Here is a 20,360-nt window from a genome sequence, read left to right as displayed (position 1 = left end):
ACATAAAAAAATGCTTTATAACATTGGATGGGGAAAGGATTATTAAAATAAGATTTCAAAACATGGGCAACAAAATCGAGAATAAGCAAACAACATTATGTCAAACTAAAATGCTTTTCCATATTAAAAAAACAACTAGAAGTTTGAAGAGACAGCTTAGGCAATGACAGAAAATGTTTTCATATACATGTGACAAAAGGCTAATATTCAGAATATATAAGAAACTTTAAAATCTCAAAATAAAATACACTTATAATCTAACTTTAAAAATGCAAAAGATCTTAATAGATGTTTGTCAAAAAGAGATACAAAAATGCTAACTGGAACATAAAAAGATGCTCTACATTACTAATCACCAAGGAAATGCAAATCCAAACCATAATGAAGTACCGCCTCATTCCCATTAGAGTGGCTATAATAAAAATAAATAAATAAATCAAGAACTAATGAGGATATAAAAAAGAGTGGATGTATACCTTGTTGGTGGAATTGTAAATTAGTATGGCCATTATAGAAAATAGTATGGAGGTTTCTGAAAGAAATTAAAAATATATCTATTATATGATCCAGCAATTTTACTTCTGGGTGTATATCCAAAAGAAAGGATATTACTGTGTCAAAAAGATATTTGCATTCCCATGTTCATTACAGAACTATTTATAATAGCTTATATATGGAATCAATTCAAATGTACAGCAACAGATAAATGGATAAGGAAAATGTACTATATATACACAGCGAAATACTATTCAGCCATAAGAAAGCATAAAATTCTGTCAGTTAAAAGAGCATGGATGAACCTTGAGCATACCATGTTAAGTAAAATAAGCCACATAGAGAAACACAAATACTTTATGATCTTATTATCTCACTCATTTGAGGAACCTGAAAAAAAGGGTTGATAGAAGCAAAGAGTACAACAGGGGTTACCAGAGACTGAAGCAGGAGGATGGGAAAAGGTTGCTTCACAGGTATTGTGTTATGATTAGATAGGGGAAATAAGTTTTTGTTTTTTATTACACAGTAGAATAATAATAATTAATGAAAAGTTATCTCATATTACAAAATAGCTAAAAGAGACCAGTTTCGGTGGCACATTCTTGCAATCCATACATTTTGGGAGACTGAGGTAGGAGAATCACTTGACGTCAGAAGTTCAAGATGAGCCTGGACAACATAGTGTGACCCTGTCTCTATGAAAAATTAAAACATTAGCCAGGCATGGTGGCAGCTTCCTGTAGTCTCAGCTAATTGGGAAACTAAGGTTAGAAGACTGTTTGAAGTTACAGTGAGCTAAGATTGCACCACTGCACACCAGTCTGGGTGTTAGAGCAAGATCCTGTCTCTAAAAAAATTTAATACTTAAAGATAAAATAAAATAGCTAGAGAAGAAGCTTTTGAATATTCTCACCACAAAAATAACAAATGCATGAGGCAACAAGTATAGAAGTACTCTGATTTTTATTGTTATACAACATATATATATAATTGTTTCCCCAAAATATGCACAATTACATGTGTCAATTTTAAAAAATGAATGAAGACTATAATGTAAAACCTATAGCTGTAAAATTCCTAGCACAATACAGAAGGGTGAAGCTTCATGACAACTGGTCGTGGCAATAATTTGGGGGACGTAACATCAACGGATGAGACAACAAAAGCAAGGGAATACACATGGTACTGAATCAGTGTATGAAAAATATCCCAAACAGACAAAGCAGAACATGGAATAGATATATGCACATTGTAGTATTAGTCACAAACATGTTACCTGGAAGCAAATGTACCCTTAAGGATGAGTAGATTCAGCAAACAGGGCACGTACAATCACTGGGATAGCATTCAGCCTTAAAAATAAGGAAATCTTGAAAAGTACTACAATAAGGACAAATATTCAAAACATTCTGTTAAGTAAAATAAGACAGTCAAAAAGGAAAGCTGTATAATTACACTCATGTAAAATATTTAGTCAAACTCAAAGAAACCAAGTGTCATAGTCTCAGCAGTGCACCAAGATGTAACAGTCTCTCGTAGTCTGAGATAACATCCAGAGTTCTTTGTTCTACCTCTAAGGAGATTAAGGAGTGTAAACACAAAGGTGAGGTTGGAGTGAAAGTTTAAGAAGCAAGAGAAGAAAGCTCTTTGCCAGCAGAGATAGGTGTCTGAAAGTGGTGCCCTCTACGAGGCTGGGTCCAGGGTTTTTATGGACTGGGAAGGGAAGGATATGTGCCTAGTTCACAGGCTGTCTTGAAAAACGTGTGGCTCAGCTTGGCCCAGGCCTTTGGCCCAGGACCAATCAGGAGCTGAAGGGATGATTGATAGATGCTGCTTAGCTTGGCCCAAGACTTACCAGAAGCTAAGGTGAAAGTTTGGCCAAGGAGCTTGGCACGGGAGCAATCAGGGGCTGAAGTAATTATTCATAGAGGTCAGACTTACAGTCCAAATAAAGGAGAATGTCTACCGGAATGTACCAGATTCCACAGTGTCCATGCCAACAAAAAGAGAAGGAACATTTTCCTGGGAGCCCACTGACTGTACAAAGACAAAGGTGTTTCTTTTTTTTTTCTTTTTCTTGTCTTTCTTTCTTTTTTTTGAGATGTACTTTCTTTTTTTATTTTATTTTATTTTTTTTGCAGTTTTGCTCTTGTTGCCCAGCCTGGAGTGCAATGGTGCGATCTCGGCTCACAGCAACCTCCACCTCCTGGGTTCTAGCGATTCTCCTGCCTCAGCCTCCCAAGTAGCTGGGATTATAGGCATGCAGCACCATGCCTGGCTAGTTTTGTATTTTTAGTAAAGACAGGGTTTGTCCATCTTGGTCATGCTGGTCTCAAACTCCCGACCTCAGATGATCCGCCCACAGCTGCCTCCGACATTGTTGGAATTACAGGCATGATCCACCGTGGCTGGCCAAACAAAGGCATTTCTGTGCTAGGTCGTTCTTGTTCCTTTATCTGAGTGAGCTGGAGGTTTGTACAAGTTTTTATCCAAATGGGCCAGAGGTTTTTCTATCTCTGCAGCCACGGGCATGTCTCCAAGCACAACAACATATGTTAGTTCCCTTGTTAGTGTCTGCAGCTTGATTTTTTCCAGGCTTCTTTACATGTTATGCAGGGATGAGGCACTGACCAGGGACTTTCCAGGGACTCTTCTCTTGCTATCTACCTAAGGTAAGCTAACTAACTTCTTTCACAAGTAATGAGTATTCACTTTTACTTTTGTAAGACAAAAATTATCTAAAAGCTACTGCAAAACAATAGAACTATACTAACCACTTCTAAACCATATACTTAAAATTTCAGAAATGACAATGGCATGTTTTTAACTACAATTAGAAATTTAAGACTAACTAAAAGGCACAGTTAGAAAACCTTTCAAACATCACCTTCAAATAACAAAGGGTTATTCTCACACAATTATATGGATTTAAACTATATGTTGATTGTAAATTTAAGATTATTTCCCTGATGACTCACCAAGATAGAATAAAATAATCACTGGAAACCAAGAAAAGAGGGAAATTTATAGCACTAATGTCCACATCAAAAAGCTAGAAAGGGCTGGGCGTGGTGGCTCATGCCTGTAATTCCAGCACTTTGGGAGGCTGGGGTAGGCAAATCACTTAAGGCCAGATGTTCAAGACCAGCCTGGAACACACAGCAAAACCCCACCTCTACAAAAAAAAATTCAAAAATTAGCTGGTTTTTGTGATGCACATCTGTAATCCCAGCTACTCAGGAAGCTGAGACAGCAGAAATCACTTAAAACTGAGAAGTGGAGGTTGCAGTGAGCAGAGATCATGCCACTGTACTCCAGCCTGGGTGACAGAGTGAGACTCTGCCACAAGAAAAAAAAGAGAAACTAGAAAGATCTAAAGTTAACAGCCTAACATCTTGATTAAAAGAACTAGAAAACCAAGTGAAAACTAACCAGAAAGGTAGCAGAAAACAAGAAATAACCAAGATCAAAGTAGAGCTGAAGGAGATAGAGACACTGAAAACTCTTCCAAAAAAAAAAAGTCAACAAATCCAGGAGCTGTTTTATGAAAAAAATTAATAAACTAGATGGAACACTAGCTAGGCAAATAAATAAGAAAAGAAAGGAGAACCAAACACAATTAGAAATAATAAGGGAGATATCATCACTGGTCCCATGGAAATAAGAACAACCATCAGAGAACACTATAAACATCTGTATGCACATAAACCAGAAAATCTAGAATAGACAATTTCCTTGCAAAATAAACCCTCCACAAGACTGAACCCTGAATAGATCAATAATGTGTTCTGAAACTGAGGCAGTAATAACTAGCCTACCAAGCAAGCTGAATTTGACCAGAGGTACAAAGAGGAGATGGTACCTTTTCTCCTAAAACCATCCAAAAAAAATTGAAGACAAAGTTCTCTGTAACTCATTCTATCAGGCCAGCATCATCCAGATACCAAAACCTAACATAGATACTACAACAACAACAACAACAACAACAACACATCATGCCAATGTCTTTGGTAAACACTGTGCAAAAATCCTCAATAAAATACTGGCAAACCAAATCCAGCAGCATATTAAAAAGTTCATCTGCAACAATGGAGTTGGCTTTGTCCCCAGGATGCAAGGTTGATTCAACAAATGCAAATCAATAAATGTGACTCATCACATAAAGAGAACTAAATAAAAAGCCACATGATTATCTCAATAAATGCAGAAAAAGCATCCAATAAAATTCAGCATTCCTTCAGGTTTAAAATTCTCAATAAACTAGGAAGTGAAGAAACATACCTGAAAATAATAAGAGCCATATACAACAAACCCACAACCAATATCATACTGAATGTGCAAAAGCTAGAAACGTTCCACCTGAAAACTGGCACAAGAAAAGAATGCCCTCTTTCACCACTACCATTCAATATAGTATCAGAAGCCTTGGCCAGGAAAATCAGGCCAGAGGAAGAAATAAAGAGTATTCTAATAGAAAGAGAGGAAGTCAAATTATCTTTGTTTGCAGATGACCTGATCCTACATCTAGAAAACCTCATTGTCTCAGGCCCAAAGCTTCTTAAGGTGATAAGCAACAGTAGCAAAATCTCAGGATATAAAATCAATGTGCAAAAGTAGCTAGCATTCCCATGCACAAACAACAGGCAAGCAGGGAGACAAATCATGAATGAACTTTCATTCACATTTGCTACAAAGAGAAAAAAATACCTAGGAATACAGCTAAGAAAGAAAGTGAAGGACCTCTTCAAGGAGAACCACAAACAACTGCTCAGAGAAATCAGAGTGGACACAAAACAGATGGAGAAATATTCCATGCTCATGGAGAGGAAGAATCAGTATCATGAATATGGGCATATGGCCCTAAGTAATTCATAGATTCAATGCTATTCCCATTGAACTACTGACATTCTTCAGAGAATTAGAAAAATAAAAACTTTTAAAGTTCATATGGAACCAAAAAAGAGCCCAAATAGCCAAGCCAACCTTAAGAAAAAAAAAAAAAAAGCTGGAAGTGTCACTCTACCTAACTTCAAACTATACTAGAAGAGTACAGTAACAAAAACAGCATGGTACTGGTATAGAAACAGACACATAGACAAATGAAACAAAGTAGAGAACCTAGAAATAAAGCCAAAAACCTACAACAACCTGATCTTTGACAAAGTTAACAAAAACAAGGAATTAGGGAAAGGTGTCCCTATTCAAAAAATGGTGCTAGGAGAACTGGCTAGCCATATGCAGAGAATTTAAACTGGAACCCTTCTTAACACCATGTACAAAAATTAACTCAAGATGGATTAAAGACTTAAATGTACAACCCAAAACTATAAAACCCTTAGAAGAAAAAATCTAGATAATACCATTCAGGATATAGGCATGAGAAAAGACTTTATGACAGAAAGGCAAAAAGCTATAGCAACAAAAGCAAAAATTGACTAATGGGGTCTAATTAAACTAAAGAGCTTCTGCGGAGCCAAAGAAACTATCATCAGAGCAGACAACCTAGAGAATGGGAGAAAAATTATGCAACCTATCCATCTCACAAATGTCTAATATCCAGAATCTAGGAGGAATTTAACAAAATTTACAAGAGAAAAAAAAAAGGCCCCATTAAAAAAGGGTCAAAGAACATGAACAGACATATCTCAAAAGAGGACATACATGTGCCCAACAAACATGAAAAGCTCAACATCACTGATAACTGCATAAATACAAATCAAAACCATAATGAGATACCATCTCACACAAATTATAATGGCTATTAATAAAAAGTAAAAAAAAAAAAAACAGATGCTGGCGAGGTTGTGGAGAAAAGGGAACACTTTTACACTGTTGGTGGGAGTGTAAATTATTTCAAGCATTGAGGAAGAGAGTGTGGAGATTCCTCAAAGACCTAGAAGCAGAACTACCATTTGACCCAGCAATACCATTACACCCAAAGGAATATAAATAATTCTATTTTAAAAATACATGTATACAAATGTTCATTGCAGCACTATTTACAATAGCAACATCATGTAATCAATCTACATGCCCATCAATGATACACTGGATAAAGGAAATGTGGTACACATACACCATGGAACACTATGAAGCCATAAAATGTAATGAGATGATGTCCCTTGCAGGGACATGGTTGGAATTTGAAGCCATTACTCCCAGCAAACTAATGCAGGAACAGAAAACCAAACACCGCCTATTATTATTCTAACTTATTAGCAGAAGCAGATCAATGAGAACACATGGACACATCAGGAAGAACAACACACACTGGACACCTGTTTCATGGCATGGGGGAGGGGAAGGAGAGCATCAGGAAGAATAGCTGCGGATGCTGGGCTTGGTACCTGGGTGATGAGATGATCTGTGCAGTAAACCACAGTGGTACGCATTTATGTATGTAAGAGACCTGCATACTCTGCACATGGACCCCTAAACTTAAAATAAAAGTTGAAAAATAAACTTTATCACATATGGACCCCTGAACTTAAAATAAAACTTGAAAAAAAAATGTGTTTCTGGTGGATTCTCTATGTTAGACCCAAACTGAGGATCTTGAAGCTCTCGCTGGGGGAATCGGGGATGGGGGCACACTGGGGAGCCGCTGCCAAGGCCAACCACCCTCCCTACAAGCCACCTCCCTTCCCGGCCAGTATGGAAAGGAGAAGGGGTATGTGAACAGCTGTGGAGGTCAGAATCTCGGGAACTGAATCAGGCCCCAGCCCATGCCCCCCAGCCCAGCCCTCAGGATTGTTAGATGGAACAAGGCTCCATCATCACCCAGGCATGGAGGGAAGATGCCCTGGTCCTTACCAAGCAAGGCCTGGTTTCCAAAGTCCTCTCCGAAGAGGCCTCATGTTTGCCACATCTTAAAAGTCCCCTTTCTGCTGTTCTTGCACCCAGCATGTTGGACAGTCAAGTTCCCCCGCTGAGCAATCCACACATAAGGAGGGAGTCAACACCATTGCTATGTCGGATCAGCTCCAGCGTCTCCAATATCAGTTTTATCAGATCCCAGGAACCTGCCTGCTCCCAGAGGTGACAGAGAAAAATCAAGGAAGGATCTGTATGGTCACTGACCTGGATGAAACCCTTGTGCATAGCTCCTTTAAGCCAATCAGCAATGCTGACTGCCTAGTGCCTGTAGAGCTTGAGGGGACCATGCACCAGATCCATGTGCTCATGAGGCCTTATATGGATGAGTTCCTGACATGAATGGAGGAAATGTTTAAATGTGTTTTCGTCATTGCTCTCTTCTTCCCAGCCTGAACAAGTAGGCAGATCCTGTGACGGGTGAGCTGGACGGGTATGGGATGGTCTGGGGCTGCCTGTCCCATGAGTCATGTTTGTTTCACCAGGGCTGCTATGTCAAGGACGTCAGCCATCTGGGGAGGGACCTGAGGAAAACTCATCCTGGACAACTCGCCTGCTTCTTACATCTTCCACACAGAGAATGCAGTGCCTGTGCAGTCCTGGTTTGATAACATTCCAGACAGCAGCTGCTGCACCTGATATCATTATTTGAGGAGATGAGTGGAGGAGCAGAGGGTGTCTACACTAGCCTTGGGCAGCAGTGGGCCCTTAACCTTCCCTGCTTCCCAGCAATGGCCATCACAGTAGGGGATTTTCCCACACTGTGCCTTTATGAACAGCCTGAAAGAGTGAAGGCTGGAACACCTACCCACATGGGCCTGGAAACAGTGAGAAGTGATTGAAAAGAGCTTTAGGACAGCTTAGATGCCCAGTGGGTGAATGCCAGACCAAGGATACCCAGAGCTACCTGCCATCAAGTTGTTGGGTTCCCGAGATGGGGGTGTGAGAGAAAGAAAGACAGCATGTGTGTTTTGCTATGAACTGTGGCCCCAAGTATATAGTGTTTCAGTAGAGGAGAAGCTGAAGGACAAAGACTCTTCCCAAGCTAGCTTGTCTCCTCTCCTGTCACCCTATGAGCCCCTGAGATCCATAGGGATGAAGAGTATTGAAGGCTCCGTTGCAAACCTGGTCTTTCTTCAGTGCTGCAAGGCCTATGCCAAGGAGAAAGGAAAGGTATGCCTTTGGGTGTTCCAGGCACACATCTTTCTGAAATATTTCTCCAGCCAGTTGTTGCAGACAAAAGACGACATTTCTGGGAAGATGGGGACTTATGTCCAGACGAGTACCCAAACTATCAGGTCTTCTGGCCCAAAGGCTATTTTTACTTACCTCTAGCCAAGTGCCTGGGATGGATCCTTTCTGCGTCTCACCAAGGCTCACCACTTAGCCATAGCCTCAAACCCGTGGGGAAGGAAGGTCTCCCCGCCCTGCAAGAGGACAAATAACTGATTTTTGTTCATTTGACTCTGTTTTAAAATTCTCTTTAAAAAAAAAAAAAACAAAAAAAAGAAAAAGAAAGCATATCTGAAACTTAAAAAAAAAAACAAGGAAAAAAGATGAAAAAAATGACATACTTACATAGGTGAAAAACACATAGATATATCTATAAGCAACAAACACAGCTAATTCAAATATAAATTAAATATCACATTGTCATAATGTGTACCGAGTTAAAAAATTATCATTCAACTCATGATATCAAGCTTTAAAAGCAAAAATACAATTAACTGCTCTGAGAAAACATACCCCCCCAGAAAAGAAACACAACAACACAGAACTGAAAATAAGAAGAGAGATTTTAATGCATAAAATCCTGAATACAACATAAATATACAATGAAAAATAAGCCCTTTTTGTTTTTTTTTGAGACAGTCTCACCCTGTCGCCCAGGCTGGAGTGCAGTGGTGCCATCTCGGCTCACTGCAAGCTCCGCCTACTGGGTTCACGCCATTCTCCTGCCTCAGCCTCTCGAGTAGCTGGGAATACAGGCACCCGCCACTATGCCCGGCTAATTTTTTCTATATTTAGTAGAGACTGGGTTTCACCGTGTTAGCCAGGATGGTCTTGATCTCCTGACCTCGTGATCCACCCACCTTGGCCTCCCAAAGTGCTGGGATTACAGGCATGAGCCACCGTGCCGGGCTGAAAAATAACCCTTTAGATATCTACAGCTTTAAACTGTGTGCAGTCATGAAAAGCAGACATTAGAAGTCATTGGCATTTAATAAATTGCAGTAAAATTATACAGTAAATACATTACAATCATTAATAATAGGCTTTAATGAGAAGAATTTAATAAATAATCATTAAAAAGACAGCAGAATTTTATTCTGTTCTCAATATGTTGCTGCTCTTCTTATCAAATACTATAATAAAACTATATGACTATAATATAGATTTCAGGAGCTAAAAAAAGCCTTATATTTTCAAATAAAAGAACAATATAAATTTTGCAAAATACAATGAGCATTACTGAAGTATAAAGTAAATATTTGGAATTAAAATATATGGTCATTTAGATACAGACTAAAAAAGAATAGAAATCTTAATGATTCCTTTCTGCCTACAGTGAGCTTAAAATTACAACCAAAAATTTTAATAAATATGTAGCACCTACAAGAAATTTTATTAACAGCTTACATAATGTGTAAATTTGAGCAATTTATTTTAGAACTTTTGAATCTGAAAATCACCTGCTTGACATTCATTTGAGAAAGTGAAACATAAAGGAGAGTAACATAAGCAAGACGACAGAATGGGAGGTTCTGCATCCACATCCCCCACGACATAATGCAGCTGCCACAGCAAACATAAGTGCATTCATGAAAGCCTTGGAATCCAGTTCAGAGTTTGTGACACCCAGCTGGAGGCAAAGACCAAGGAAGACATCTTTAGAGGGTAAGCACTTGACCAAGTGGCAAGCTTGCCAATCATGGTCCTCGCTTCAAAACAGAATACTGCCACATCTTACTGTAGACTTGGCTATAACTCATTTGACCTTGGTCCTGACACTGCAACAGTCTGTGGAAAACACAAGAGAATTCATACTCACCTGAGACTTAGATGACAGGCCTGCAGAACTTGGTTCTCTCTATAGTCCCTGAATCAGGCAAAACACACCTTCTTTCCTTCTCCAGCCATGGTCTGGAAGAAATCTTCACATTGATATGATGAAATGCTAACTAACAATATGAAAAATACTAAAGTATAAATGTCACTAAAATGGTAAATACATACTGAATTTCAGAATACTATAAATTGTTATCATCTTAAACTAGACTATTAAAATACAAGATGTTTTACATAAGTCTCATGATAACCAGTAGGAAAAAAAAATAGTAAAGAAAAAGAGAAAGTAATTAAAGCATACACAAACAACAAAAATTACACATTGGATATGGTGTCTCCTGCTTATAATTCCAACACTTTGGGAGGCCAAGGTGGAAGAATCAAATCTCCTTGGGTGTTGTGGTACATGTCTGCAGTCCAAGCTACTTGGGTGGCTAAGGTGGGACGATTATTTGAGCCCAGGAGGTTAAGGCTACAGTGAGCTGTGATATGCCACTGCACTTCAGTCTGAGCAAGAAAGCATAACTTTGTCTCAACAAAAATGAACAATACCACAGGAAAGACAGAACCAGAAAAAAAAGAAGCAAACTTAAAATGGACAGAAAACTACAAATGTACAATAGTAACTGCTTACCTATCACTACCTTACAAATAAAAAGATTAAAGTATCTACTAAACAGATACTGCTGTACACTGAATGTCATCTCCAAAATTTAGGATAAAATTTAATAGCCAACATGTTAGAATTAACAGGTGGAACCTTTAAAAATTAATTAAGCTATAAGCACTCTGCCCTCATGAATGGATTAACGTTCTTATTATGGGAATGGGCTAATTATAACAAGAATGGATCTGTTATATATTAAAAAAAAAAAGCTCTCTCTCCCTCACATCTTTGTGTATGTTATTATCCAGCAACTAGACCTTCAACATATACCAGTATAATGTTGTTTTGGCTTCCCAGCCTCCAGAATCATGAGTCAAATAAAATTCTATTCTTTATTAATTACCAGTGTGTGATATTCTGTTATAGCAGCCAAAAGAGACTAAAGCAGACAGAGTGGATAAATTAATCTTTTAAACCTCATAATATGCTGCTTACAAGAGACTCAATTATGAATTAAGAGCATAGGCTAAAAGTGAAAGGATAGAAAATGATATTCCATGCAAATAATAACCAAAGGAGTGAAATGGTAATGCTTAAATTAGACAAAATAGACTTTCTAGCAATGTCTCTCACAAGAATGAAATGAGTTTACCATACAATAATAGAGGTTAATTTCTCAAGAGAATATAGCTTTATATATTTATGCACCCAAAAGGGAGGCTTCTAAATATAAAAAGCAAATATTGCCAGAACTGTAGGGAGAAGTAGAAAGAAACCCAATAATAGAAAACTTTAACGAAATGTATAATAAAGGACATATAGTTAACAGCATTGTAAATTGGCAAGGGAAAGCTGGTCTCATGTGTTGCGTTTGAGAATGCAGCAAAGAAAGTGGGAACTGATAATTTTACTGCAAGCCTGAGTTAGGATGAAAAACAGGGTGGTCGATTAGAGGTTCCACTTGCCATACATTAAAAAAACACAGGAGAAAACCAGTCCTCCTCTGGAGTGTTAAAATAATTAAAGATCAGAAAATTAGTCTAAAGTGGCTCTAGTGCCCTGTGTTCATAGGTAAAAAACAAAAAACAAACAAAAAAAAATCTAAAACCTAACTCAAATATATTTCCTATAAAACACTATCTTAGCCTGAAGCAAAATGCAGGTTTAACCCATGACAAACATGCAATTAACCTCTGAATATGTAACCAGGACATTTCCATCTGGATAGTTCAAATAAGGCTACCATATAACTGGAACCAATTCTTGAATTTGGGTTGCTTTCTCATGCATCTTATGAAAGCCTTTCCTTTATGCCCCTCTGGTGGACCAGAAATCATGGCTGGGTGCTTTCCATTTCACCAATCACTCTTTGTTCAGATAAACTGATGAACCTTTTAACATAGACTCCCGTTAATTTTTAACACGAGAGACTGTGGACCCCACGGGCCGCAGCTCCTCCCACGCAAACACCCACTCGCGGTTTTTCCCTGATGACCCATCTGGCCTCCCTGAACAATTTGGGAAATACTCATGGCTGTGGGCGCAGAGCAGGGCGCTGCCCAGGGACAGGACCGGATGGGCCGGACGGGACGTGGGGGTCCTCGCTGCTGGCCCAGCGGCCATCTTGCAGCCACAGGGGACTGAGGGCCAAGCTGCGGGAGACTCGGAGCTAACCGTGGGGAGGCCGGTCCTGCCGGTTTCACAGTCTGTTCTCCCCTCTCGGGATGGCGAACCCCGTATACTCACCATTTCCCAGCTTCCAGGATGTCCTGGCACCTTAACTATGCGTCCCCAAGGACCTACAGATCGCAGGGCAACAGGGGCTGTGACAGAGTAGCCCAGGGCTCTCAAGGTGCAGGAGGCGAAAGAGGAGACAGATCCCAAGCTCCTGTGCCAGCACCAGCGAGAGACACAGATCCCGCCAAATGCAGGAAGCCACGCCCTCCTTTCCTCTCCTCTGCCACCGCGCGCCTGATTGGGCGGTTCCCACATCAGTGTCAATGACTGGATAAAACTCCAGGACGCACCCACCCTCGCCTGACTCCTGCCCTTACCCCCACTCCCCCTCAGACTTAGTGCACTTTTGTTAGTTTGTTTTTAAGTTCTGGAATACATGTGCAGAACGTGCAGGTTTGTTACATAGTTTTACATGTGCCATGGTGGTTTGCTGCACCTATCAACCTGCCATCTAGGTTTTAAGCCCCATATGCATTAGGTATTTGTCCTAATTTTCTCCCTCCCCTTGACCTCAACCCCTTAACAGGCCTTAGTGTGTGATCTTTGGCTCCAGGTGTCCATGTGTTCTCATTTTTCAACTCCCACATATGAGTGAGAACATATGGTGTTTGCTTTCCTGTTCCCGTGTTAGTTTGCTGAGGTTAATGGTTCCCAGCTTCATCCACGTCCCTGCAAAGGACATGAACTCATTCTTTTTATGGCTGCATATTATTTCATGGTGTATATGTGCCACATTTTCTTTTTCCAATCTATCAATGATGGGCATTAGGGTTGGTTCCAAGTCTTTGCTATTGCAAACAGTGGTGCAATAGACATATGAGTGCATGTGTCTTTATGCTAGAATGATTTATATTCCTTTGGGTATATACCCAGTAATGAGATTGCTGGATCAAATGGTATTTCTGGTTCTAGATCCTTGAGGAATCACCACACTGTCTTCCATAATGGTTGAACTAATTTACACTCCCTCCAGCAGTGTAAAAGTGTTTCTATTCCTCCACAGCCTCACCAGCATCTGTTGTTTCCTAACTTTTTAATAACTGCCATTCAACATGGTGTGAGAAGGTATCCCATTGTGGTTTTGATTTGCATTTCTCTAGTCTCCAGTGATGATGAGCTTTTCTCTTTTTTGTGTTTGTTGACCACATAAAGGTCCCCTTCTTCTTCTTCTTCTTCTTCTTCTTCTTCTTCTTCTTCTTCTTCTTCTTCTTCTTCTTCTTCTTTACTTCTTCTTCTTCTTCTTCTTCTTCTTCTTCTCCTTCTCCTTCTTCTTTTTCTATTTATTTTACTTATTATTATTATTTTTAAGATGGAGTCTTGCTCTGTCACCCAGGCTGGAGTGCAGTGGAAGGATCTCGGCTCACTGCAACATCTGCCACCCAGGTTCAAGTGATTCTCCTGCCTTAGCCTCCCCAGAAGCTGGGATTACAGGTCACCCGCCAACACATCCTACTAATTTTTTGTGTTTTTAGTAGAAATGCGGTGTCGCCATGCGGCCCAGGCTGGTCTTGAACACCTGACCTCATGATCCACCTGCCTCCACGGCTGAAAGTGCTGGGATTACAGACTTGATCAACCGCGCCCAGCCAAATATCTTCTTTTGAAAAGAGTCTGTTTATATTCTGTGCCCACTTTTTGATGGTTTTTTTTTGTGTGTGTGTGAATTTGTTTAAGTTCTTTGTAGATTCTGGATATTAGACCTCTGACACATGGATAGAGTGCAAAAATTTTCTTTCACTCTGTAGGTTGCCTGGTCACTCTGGTGATAGCTTCTTTTGCTGTGCAGAAGCTCGTTAGTTTAGTTAGATCTCATTTGTCAATTTTAGCTTTTGTTGTGATTGCTTTTGGTATTTTATTCATGAAGTCTTTGCTCATGCCTATGTCCTGAATGGTATTGCCTAGGTTTTCTTCTAGGGTTTTTATGGTTTGGTGTTTTACATTTAAGACTTTAATCCATCTTAAGATAATGTTTGCATAAGGTGTAAGGAAGGGGTACAATTTCTGTTTTCTGAATGTGGCTAGCCAGTTCTTTCAGCACCATTTGGTAAGTAGGAAATCTTTCCCCATTGCTTGTTTTTGTCAGGTTTGTCGGAGATCAGATGGTTGTAGATGTGTGATGTTATTTCTGAGGCCTCTGTTCTGTTCCATTTGTCTATATATCTGTTTTGGTATCAGTACTGTGCTGTTTTGGTTACTGTAGCCTTGTAGTATAGTTTGAAGTCGGGTAGCAGGATGCCTCAAGCTTTGTTGTTTTTGCTTAGGATTGTTTTGGGTTGACAGGCAAACAGGCTCCTATATTTGGGGTCACGTGCCCAGAGTATCACAGCTAATTCAGACGTGAGCTGAGACTTGAAATGCACGTGCTCTTTCCCTTACCTGGGTCTGTTGTATAATGCATCTTAGCAGCTATGTAACAGTACGAATTAGAATATTTAGACATCTTTTTAGCAACTTTTTAACCTGCATTTTTGTAACGCGGTAAAGACCTTCATCCCATCCCTGAGCCCCTCTCTCACAACACTGCACCCCACTGCTGACCACACTGTTGTGTGACCATTAGGAATCAGGGGGGCAGCGGGGGCTGGAAATAAATAAGAAAGGATTATGTTTCCCAAATTTGCTCACCTTAGAAAGTCTCCTCAACCATTCTGTGTGAGGTGATTTTTCCAAGGTAATTGTGCCCTGACTGCGCTGGATGTCAGTGTGTCTTGTCTTTTTGAAAATCACTGGATTACTCTCATGAACGGGGTATTTCTCTTTCTATTTGAAAATGGTCAACTGTCCTCTGCAGGTGTCCTGACTTGCTAGTTTAGACCCTGAAGGTAGCGGTGAGAAAATATTTGGGCCACATCAGAATACCTATTCTCAGCTGGAGGATATATAGAAATTTCTTAATAATATCTAACCATTTTCTCAATAACCATTATATTTAACATTGATAGCTTGGAGGGCAGGGAAGGACACAGATGACACAATCTTCAAAGTTTAATTTAGTTATAAGGTTTTTTTTTTGTTCTTGCTTAGTTTTGCTTAGTTTTTGGATACAAGGTCTTGCTCTGGTGCCCAGGCTGGAGGGCAGTGGCATAATGATAACTCATAATTTGGTTGTAACGGTTCTTTAAAATATATTTTTGCTGAGAGTGCTAGCTCATACCTGTAATCTAAACACTTTGGGTGGCCAAGGTGGGATGATCGCTTGATCCCAGGAGTTCAAGACGAGTCTGAGCAACATAAGTAGGCTCAGTCTCTAGAAAAATATTTAAAAATTGTCTGGGTGTAGCTTTGCATGCCTGTAGTCCCAGCTACTTGAGAGGCTGATTTGAAAGCATCACTGGAGCCTAAGAATTTGAAGATGCAGTGACCCATGATTCAGCCACTGCATTGACAGAGTGAGATATGTGTGTGTCTGTCTGTGTGTGTGTATAAAGAATTTGTATGTGAAAAAAATTCAAGCACAGGAGAAAAGTGAAAGCCCATGGTGGGGGATGTGGAGAAAGGTCACTGTGGCTCCAGCAACTCAGTGAGACTTGGTTTTCCATCTTGAAGAATTGCCCATCCACACTGACACCATAGCCTAACATATGCCAGTTCTCACACTACACCTGCTGGGATACCAGTATGTAGCCTTTTGAAAAAAATAAAATCTTTCACCTAAGAGAAGGACAAGAGAAAACGAGGGTTTCACATCTAAAGCCTTCATTTTCTTTATGAATCAACAGCCACTTGTCATTTCAATTGTCCAGAGGCGACTGACAGCACTAATACACTTAATGAATCAACCAGGAAAAATGGGCCTCTCAGGTGAGGAGGAGGCACAATCGTCACAAAACCCAATCCGTTCTCAGCTTTGCATGGTGCTCGCATCTCAAGAAGTGGTGTTAGCCATGTGAACCGTGTTCACTGGACAAGGCCAGAGGAAAGAATATGTAGTACAACACAACTATGGGGCTGCAAATCAAACTGGTAGTGAGAGCATGCATGAGGCTTCAGTGGCCGAGACACTGGTGGCTACCCTTCGGTGTCACTTAAATCTTTGAGGTGAAGGACATCTTTTTCCCAACTGGCTCAGAGAAACTAATCAACATTAAAATTGAGATTTGTTTTTCTTTTCAAAATTTCTAAGACATAGAGGACTCTCTAACACTCCAAAAGACATTCAGCTATACATGCAGCTGAGGACCTGCCTGCTCTGTAGAGGGATGGCAGAGCAGCAGCCACCAGCTTTAGTAGCTTTAAGCTCCTCTTCTCATAGGAACAGGCCACCCCCACACAACCCCCCTAACTTCATAGGCTCTGGCTGTCAGGTGCACCTGGGGGACTGTCTTCCTCCCATCTCATTAGCTCTCGAAGACAGTTCAGCTCAATGTAAAACCTACCTTAGGATGGTGAGTTGTAGGCTCTCCTCTATTCTCCCAGCGCAGTGTGACTTCTGGAGAGTGCTTCTCCATCCTCTTACCTCAGATGATGTGAAAAGAGCCGGTTCCCGGGCAGTTAGATGTTCAGTGACATAACAGGCCCAGCATGCGCAGGGCCTGGCCCCACAACCTGGCACCTCTCCCTTACCTGGCCTTCAGGCTGGACTTTTCTCTTCTGCCACAAATGTCAGGTGATGATCACCTCTGCCACACTCTCATGAGCTTGGTAAGTATCAGGGGTGTAAACCCCAACAGATTTCCTGTGACTCTACCCTCTTACCACCCACTCAAGTGACATTATAAGCATAATTTTACATTTGATATTATTTATGCGTAATTTTTTTTATAACATTTCTGACAACAGCCCACACAACGAAATGAGTCTGGGTTACAGAACACACGGGCGAGGCTGGGGTAGCAGGCTTCAATTACTTTATTCCAATGTGAAATGAAGATTGATGATTTAAAAACAAGACAAAGTTGTTTATCAGCTGTGGGGTGGCTACACTTGCTAGCTCATGCTCACTTTCTTTGAAACAAGGTATCTGTACAGACCATACTCATAAGTAGCTCTTCACAAAACCCCAGACAGAAGTCCCAGTCAGACACAGCTCCCTCAGGCTCACAGGGCAGCAACCTCCTCCTCCATGTTAGGCTCTGACAGCAGGCAAGGGAAGAAGCACAGGCAGCAGGGGACAGGGAGATGTCCCGGACTGTAGGGATCCCCAAATGCCCCAGAGCTATTATCTGTAGAAGGGTGCACGCAGGTCTCACTCTGACAGTGCAGTGGCTGAATCATGGGTCACTGCAGCCTCAAACTCTTAGCCTCCAGTGATGCTTTCACCTCAGCCTCTCAAGTAGCTGTATGGCAAAAAGCCTCCTATTTTTTTACTTAAAACCTGGACTTCAAGCCAGGTTGGACCTGGGGATAGTGGCAGCAAAAGCAGCAGCCAAATGTATACACTCCAGATGTCTACACTCATGGGCACAGGCATATTCCACTCTTGCTGGAGCACGAGAGGCCTGAGAGGCACCTGTTTCCCAGTTGCTAACTGATGCCCACACACCCCATTCACGTGTCTTCATTTAGGTCTCTGCATCGTGTATTCCCTCAGCCAGTGCAAACACATCTTCTGGGGGGCATCATTAATTGCAGCACCTGCCCCTCTTGTTCTGGGAGGGAGTCAAGAGGAATCTGGTCAGCTCCTAATCCCCCAGGACAAAGGTGCTGCCCCCTTTTCAGCACTCACATCCAGCAATGCCATCTCTGGATGGGTTTTTCAAACACAAGTAGCATGAGGTAGCAAGCATGGTGTGACAGGCTCAGGGCCATGGGCAGCCGGTTGCTGGAGAAGCAGCACAGGGCAGGCACATCTGTGGGTGGCACCATGACAAGCCAAGGCAGCCACAGCCCCTAATCCCAACAGCTCCAGCCCAGTTGGCATTCAAATCTTCCCAGATAGTATTGGGGTACGCGATGCCCATCACTCGCCCGCTCATTAGCACGGCCTTGTTGGTTACTCAGAGACTAAGGAGAGAGAGTGGGGGATGTAGATCCAGGGTGGGCACCGCCTTGCAGCCAGAGTCCACCTGACTGCAGGCCAGCAAGCAAGCCCAAGCAGCTCAGCTCTAGTCACCTCTGGCTGTACTTTATGTGTATACTTTACACAAAGGTAGCAAACAGAGGTCAACATTAGCTGTTGTGACATGAAAGTCTATGCCTCATTAAGACCTTAAAATGCTGTTGTCTTAAGCTCTCTTTATTCCACTAAAATTTATACAAATAAACACATGCAAGCTGAAACTACTATAAAGGAAATATTAGGATTTTTTAAACCCATAAACAGACATGAAAACAGTCACTGTTTGATTGCAGAGAAAGTGAGCTTCTAAAGCAGCTGACCACAAAACAGCCTCACCAAACCCCAGGCAGGCCAGGCAGTCTGAACACTACAAGGCCACGTGATGGTCACAGAGGATGACAGCTCCCGTGAGTATTGCAAGGCACTGTGTTAGCTTCTCACTCACAGTCTCAGAATACCCTGTGAGGGGAGGCCCCGTCTCACTAGAGCACAGGAGGTTCCTGAGCTCTTCCCAGAAAATGGTCATCAAACGATGGAGCAGAGGGAAGCCCAGACAGAACAAGTGAGTCCCTAGGGTCTCCTTAACCTCCCTCAGCTCCTCCACATGGGTCCCTGAGGGAAAGTGAGCAGCCTCCTAACCCCCTTGATAGGGTTCCAGTCCTGCAGGTCGGACTCTCTCATTTTATGCTACCATAGGGGGTGACAATGCAACCCCAGGCCCCTTATTTGCCATCCCTCAATGCCAGGCCAGGCCCAGAGCCCTTTGCTAACACAGCCCAGGGGATGCTCAAGGCCCACCTCGGCACAGTCACCTGTAGTGTACTGAGATGAGCAAGGAGGTGCAAGTAGACACAAATCCCCATGGGCTTGGCCTCAGCCATGTTCCACAGGCTCAGGGCCTCGCAGATGAGCTCACAGCCCTCCTTCAGGAAGCCTGCAGATCACACCCTCAGGGAGCAGTGCTCAGATGAGCAGGCAGGCCCCACATCCCCCACCCCATGACGCTCTGTTCCACTTTGCAGGCTTCTGCATTGGCCAGTCCCCACTGCTTTCTGGTGAGATGTCCGAGTTGAAGTGAATGTTGAAGGCCACACAGCTGATGGAGCTCACTGCCTTGCACATGTTGTAAATCACCTCCTGGCTTCAAGGGTCAGCTGTGGAGACACAGCTTGATGGGAGGTAGGCCCACTCCACCATCAGTGGTGCTGGGTTGCCCTGATCTGCACCTTCCAGATACTTGCTAAGATATCTGCATGCTTCTCTAAGGGACTGGGTCACGAGACACCCCTGGCAAGGACCAGCTGGCAGAACAGGCTGGACACTCTCCCTCAGCCTCCCCAGCAGCCCCACCTGTGCTGTCATCTGTGCTGATGATCTCCGTGGTAAGATTATGGGAAACTTTTACAGCAAGTTTTCCTTTCTCACTTCCCTATCTTAATAACAGCACTGATAACTTTTAAGCCCTAGCAAGCTGAAACTGCAAGACACATGATCTTCTGCCTTAGAAGGGCCATGTTTGGGCAGTGGGTGCCCAGGTGAGAGCCCCATGGTTGTTAGTGGCAGCCGGGAGCTGGATGG

At 41.8% G+C, this 20,360-nt stretch overlaps 1 long non-coding RNA gene and 1 pseudogene across 2 annotated transcripts in view; both read left to right on the top strand.

Moving 5' to 3' along the window:
• The window catches only part of LOC102724701 (uncharacterized), a 441,766-nt gene that overhangs the window by 339,334 nt on the left and 82,072 nt on the right, over positions 1–20,360 (top strand). The window lies entirely within an intron of this gene.
• On the top strand, positions 7,256–8,118 carry LOC124904987 (carboxy-terminal domain RNA polymerase II polypeptide A small phosphatase 2-like; annotated as a pseudogene).

The sequence above is a fragment of the Homo sapiens genome, chromosome 21 (genome assembly GCF_000001405.40).
Source record: "Homo sapiens chromosome 21, GRCh38.p14 Primary Assembly".
NCBI lineage: Eukaryota > Metazoa > Chordata > Mammalia > Primates > Hominidae > Homo > Homo sapiens.
This window is presented reverse-complemented; position numbering and strand designations above follow the sequence as displayed.